The sequence below is a fragment of the Homo sapiens genome, chromosome 8 (genome assembly GCF_000001405.40).
Source record: "Homo sapiens chromosome 8, GRCh38.p14 Primary Assembly".
Lineage (NCBI taxonomy): Eukaryota > Metazoa > Chordata > Mammalia > Primates > Hominidae > Homo > Homo sapiens.
The window spans coordinates 61764676-61770240 of record NC_000008.11 but is presented as its reverse complement, the minus strand read 5'-3'; the positions used below and the strand labels follow the sequence as shown (position 1 = coordinate 61770240).

Genomic DNA, 5565 nt, shown 5'->3' with positions numbered 1-5565 from the left:
TTTTTGAGACAGAGTCTTACTCTGTCACTCAAGCTGGAATGCAGTGGTGCGATCTCAGCTCACTATAACCTCCATCTCCCATGCTCAAGCAATCCTCCCACCCCAACCTCCCAAGTAGCTGGGACATGCCTGATGTGCCACCATGCCTGGCTAATTTTTTTTTTTTGAAGGGATGGGGTGTCGCCTGGTTGCCCAGGCTGGTCTTGAATTCCTGGGCTCAAACTATCCACCCACCTCGACCTCCCAAAATATTGGGATTATAGGCGTGAGCCACTGCACCTGGCCACATAAGGTGTATAAATATATATATATATATATGTGTGTATATATACATATATTTGAGAAGAGTCTTGCTCTTATTGCCCAGGCTGGAGTGCAGTGGCATGATCTTGGCTCACTGCAACCTTCACCTTCTGGGTTCCCAAGTTCCCGGGTTCAAGCGATTCTCCTGCCTCAGCCTCCCGAGTGAGTAGATGGGATTACAGGCATGTGCCACCATGCTTGACTAATTTTTTGTGTTTTTAGTAGAGATGGGGTTTTACTGTGTTGGCCAAGCTGGCCTTGAACTCCTGATCTCAGGTGATTTCCCCACCTTGGTCTCCCAAAGTGCTGGGATTACAGGGGTAAGCCATTGTGTCAGGCCCACGTAAGGTATATTTTTATTGGTTGCTTTTTACTTTCTTTATGCTTCATTCTAAATGGTAGGAAGAAACTTTCCTGGAAGCTTTTCCTCCTGGCCTAACATCACCAGGGAGCCCCACTTAGCCTTTGGAGAATAGCTTCTCAACAATTATTTGCAAAATTATTAAGTCACCCACTCCACATTATTTAAACATCTTACCAAAGCTCTCATTTATTTTTTCACTCCACTATTAATAGAGTATCACTGTTAGGAAAATACACAAAAGGTCTAAAAATTCTTTTTAGCAGAGCAAAAGGTGGGTTAAGTGTCAATTTTATCATGTTTATTTTAGGAAGATGAGAATGTTCCTATTTGAGTCCTATTAAAACTAACTTGGTGAAACTTTTCCTCAATAATCTGAGCAGCTTTTACATAAATTATATAAGAGGATTTCAAAAAGTTCATGAAAAAATGGAATTGAAAGAATAAAAATGTAAATGTTATTTCTTAACATAAGCTCCATCAAGTTCAAGACACTTTTGTAAGTGATGATACCAGCCACTTAGTCCGTCTCTAAAGAACTGAGGGGCCTGGGAATTTAACCATGTCCATGTGGCCTTTTTTACATTACTAATTGAACAAAAATGGATGCCCTCTGAGTATTTTTTAAGATCAGGAAAAAAAAGGAGACAGAAGGAGCCAAATCATGACTCTAAGGTGGATCCCTAATAATTTCCCAACAAAAATCCTGAAAAATTGCCCTTGTGTGATAGGAGGAATAAGCAGGAATATTGTTGCGGCAGAGAAGGACTTTCTGGTGAAGCTTTCCTGGGAATTTTTCTGCTATGGTTTTGACTAACATTTTCAAAACACTCTGGTCATAAGCAGGTGATATTTTTTCTCTGGCTCCCTAAAAAGTCAACAAGCAAAATGTCTTTAGCATCTCAAACAAACAAACAAACAAACAAACAAAAATGTTGCCATGGCCTTTGCTCTTGACCAATTCACTTTTTCTTTGACTGGACCACTGTGACCTCTTGGTAGCCATTGCTTTGATAGTGCTTTGTCTTCAGGATAGTACTGGTAGAGCCGTGTTTCATCTTCTGTTACAATTCTTTAATGAAATGTTTCAGGATCTTGATTCCACATGTTTAAAATTTCCATTGAAAGCTCTCCTCTTGTCTGTAGCTGATCTGGGCACAATGGTTCTGGCATCCATTGAGTGGAAAGTTTGCTCAACTTTAATTTTTCAGTCAGAATTGTGTAAGCTGAACCAATTGAGAAGCTTATGGTGTTGTCTATTGTTTGTGCTGTTAATTGTCAGTCTTCTTCAATTAGAGCAGAAACAAGATTAATTTTTTCCTCACAAATTGATGTGGATGGTCTGCTGCTGCAGACTTCATTTTCAACATTATCTTGTCCGTTATTAAGATGAGTTTCCCATTTGTAAATTGCTAATTTTGGGGGGACATTGTCCCCATAAACTTTTCACAAAGCAACTATGATTTCACCATTCTTCTTTCCAATCTTTATAAGCATAATGTTTGTTCTTGCTTTAATTTTAGCAAAATTCATCTTGCTCTGATAGGGGTTCTTTTCAAACTGATGTTTTATCTTTCTTAGTGTCCCAAACTATATCCTGTTCGGATATGCTATAACAAGTTAGTTCAAGTTCATTTTGGTGCAAAACAGTTTTAAACTCTGGGCATAATGTTCATTATAGCATATTCCACAAACTTTTTGAAGACCCCTTTTATATTTAAAAATATATGGCTATGTGCAATGTACACTTAAGTACATTTTATTTTCCCAACAATCATGTGAGAAAATAGAGATTTCCATTTTACAGATAAGCAAATTGAGGCTCCGAAGTATTTACTGACAAAGTTAACAGAACTAAAAAGGGGAGCAGATAAACAAACCCTAATCCATCTGCCCTTCCCACCAGGTGACTCTCAGGAAAAGTCTTTTTTCAACTATTAATATTTAACTCTTAAACCAAGAAAAGCATTCTTTCCACTACACTTCACTGCCTAGTCACTCATTAGGGTATTATAGAAGATAATTGCTGTGTATGAATGGATTAAATACTCACATGAGAGTTTCCCAGATATGGTTAAAAGCCACACAAGTCATCAATACTTATGCTTCAAATCACTTGAGCATATAAGTCATTTACTTGCATTTCAGAATGCACAGTTGTTGAATTGCTCCATCCACTTTATTTGTTTTGAAATTAACTTCTGTGTACTCTCGCATTGCTAATGCCTGTCCGTGACCTTTTAGGCTGATGCTGCCTTAAAAGAACTAGAAAAACTGCCTGCTCACTGCATTAGTCACCAACAGAAGAAAAATTCACCATTTCCAGCCCATCAAGGTTTTTAGATTACTTCAGCTGGACAAAGTCATCACACAAATATATCTTAGTCAAGTACTTACGAGGTTGGAAAAGAATCTTAGGTGAAGGAGAAGTTTCAAGTCTCTCACAGTCACAGATAATAAGAGTTTTAGGATCCTATATCTTCTCTAGCCAGCAGACTCTATGTTGTGTCTCCAGAGGTCACACTTACTGTGGAAGCTCCACCAGAAGCTGTTTGATACTGTGGAGAGAGAGGCATTCTCTTCTGGAAAGGATGCTACTTTGTAAGACATATTATTTGGAATCAGCATTTTTATTGTATCATAGTCTGCTTAAAAAATAGATCACATGTAACACCATATGGAACTAAATGAGAGTTGTTTGAATTGGGTCAGTTCATGGGTTCTGATGCAATGGACAGAGGGCCAGATTTGAAGTAAAGCCTGGATACAAACATAGCTCTTCCATTTATGCACTGGTAACTATAGGTGAGTCCTTCACTTTCTCTGATCCTCTTTCCTCATCAATAAAGTCAGGAATTTAACACAGGGAATTATTAACATGGCCTTCAGAGCTAATGCCTCATAAATTTATTATTTTAAGCATTATGAAATGAAATAGCATTCATAAAAGCAGCACAAACTGCTAAAAAAAAGGTTTGTTTATAACCATTTCATGAATTAATCAATATGAAACTCTCAAAAAGAAACACGTTTACACAATTTGTTTGAATTAATTCTCCATTTTGAAGGTAAAACTGAGTATTTATGGAATCACCCTGTTGATATTTCTTCTAAGATTTTCAAATGGGGTTGAAGAAAACCCAGCTTAAATTTCAAATGGGGTTGAAAAAAACCCAGCTTAAATGGGTAGCCTCCATTGTTCATTTATTTTATTGGGTTTATAAAAGTTGAAGACATGAAGGTAGAATGTTAGAAAGTAAAATCTCAATGTATCTATATTATAGCTGATCACCACTAAATTTTCAGACATCTAAAAAAACCTACTTCCTTCCTATATTACTTGACCACAAACAGTGTAATAAGCCTGATTTAAAGGCCCTTTCCCTCTAAAAGTATTATTTTCAATGTTCACCAAGACTGAGTTTTATGAGTAAAATTTTCTCCCCTCCAATGTCAAAGGAACTCAGTGGTAAGAGTATAAAGTGACTAAACAGTTTTAGCCCTATCCTTCTTATGAAATAGCTTTGTGACCTTAGGCTAATCACGTCACCTCTCTGAGCTTCCAAGTTCTAATTTTCTAACAATGAAGTGCCAGGGAGATGAGAATAAACAACTTCAACGGCCTTTCCATGCCCAAAGACACTGCAGCAGAGCCGTCTATGAATGACAGATGAAATGCCTTAGAGGTTGTTACAGACTGAATGTTTGTATTAGACAAAAATGTATATGCTGAAATCTTAACCCCCAATGTGGGGGCATTAGGAGGGGAGGCCATTAGGAGATTATTACGTCATCTTTGGTATTAGAAACCCGTAACATCATTTTCTTTAGGTCTCTTATATTCACAGAGTGTCCTCAATTTTGTCTTTCATTATCTTATTCATTATTTATTCACTTTTAAAAGTAATATAAAGATATTCTTGTATTTATGCATTTAAACATACATGAATATATAACTAAGCAAACAGATAATAAAATTATTAAGTTTAGCTCTAAAATGCAGTTAACTGTCAGCATGCTAAATTTTAAAATATATAGTATTTGCCTAATGGGATTTTCCATTTTAATAAATTATAATAATTCCTTTAAGAAGAAAACAGACAAAATATATTATCATCTTGTATACTCATTTGTCTTACTCTGTAATTATAGTACTTAGTGTCATCTCAAACATTTATATTAATTACCACCTTTAACTAATCAACTTTTGTTTTCCTGGCCACAAGGAAACTAGAAGCAATATCTACTTAGATTTTTTCCATGAGTACACATTTTATACTGCATTTTAATAAACTTGAGATAAACACATTCAGATATATATATAATTCAAAGGCATTCAAATGCCCTATTAGTCTGTAGTATTTTGTAAAGATTGGAAATGAGTAAAACCCAAAATAATGTTTCTTGAATGATATTTAAACATTTTATTTTTATTTAGAAATAGTTGTGGTATACATATACCTTTTATTAATTAGCTTAATTTTATATTAGTCTAAGGTCTTAAAGCTAACCAAAGATCCAGAAATTACAAAGTTTACCAACACATTAAGCCCTTATGATCTGTTAAATAAGTATTCACAATATTAAATATCTAAAAGACACTCACATTTACAATTTTATTGGACTAAATACAATTTTATATTTCTTAACTTTATATAAGTTGCAGATATAATAACACATTATTGGGGCCATAGAACTAACATAGAATATTTTCAAATTTTAATCATGAGAAATTATATTCAAATCTTGTCTTAACTAAATACTAGGTGAACGTTTTTTACATAGTAATAAGATCAGAGAAAAACATGTAGAGCCTTTGTAAGCTAAAATTTAATTACTCATATTTGGTAAAATAGTTCTTTTCTTAGTAGAAGTAAACCTCTATGAGATATATCAATAAT

General features: G+C 34.9%; 2 annotated features.

Annotated features, from left to right (window-relative positions):
• Window positions 2535–2679: an enhancer, noted in NCBI's record as "145 bp enhancer 71 fragment used in the MPRA reporter construct; PK_construct_5211". NCBI's record gives its function as "activates an SV40 promoter by MPRA in HepG2 cells {active_cell/tissue: HepG2}" and the evidence as "EXISTENCE:reporter gene assay evidence [ECO:0000049][PMID:23512712]".
• Window positions 2601–2614: a transcriptional cis regulatory region, noted in NCBI's record as "HNF1 motif; enhancer activity is reduced when this motif is scrambled". NCBI's record gives its function as "necessary for full MPRA enhancer 71 activity {active_cell/tissue: HepG2}" and the evidence as "EXISTENCE:site-directed mutagenesis evidence [ECO:0005528][PMID:23512712]".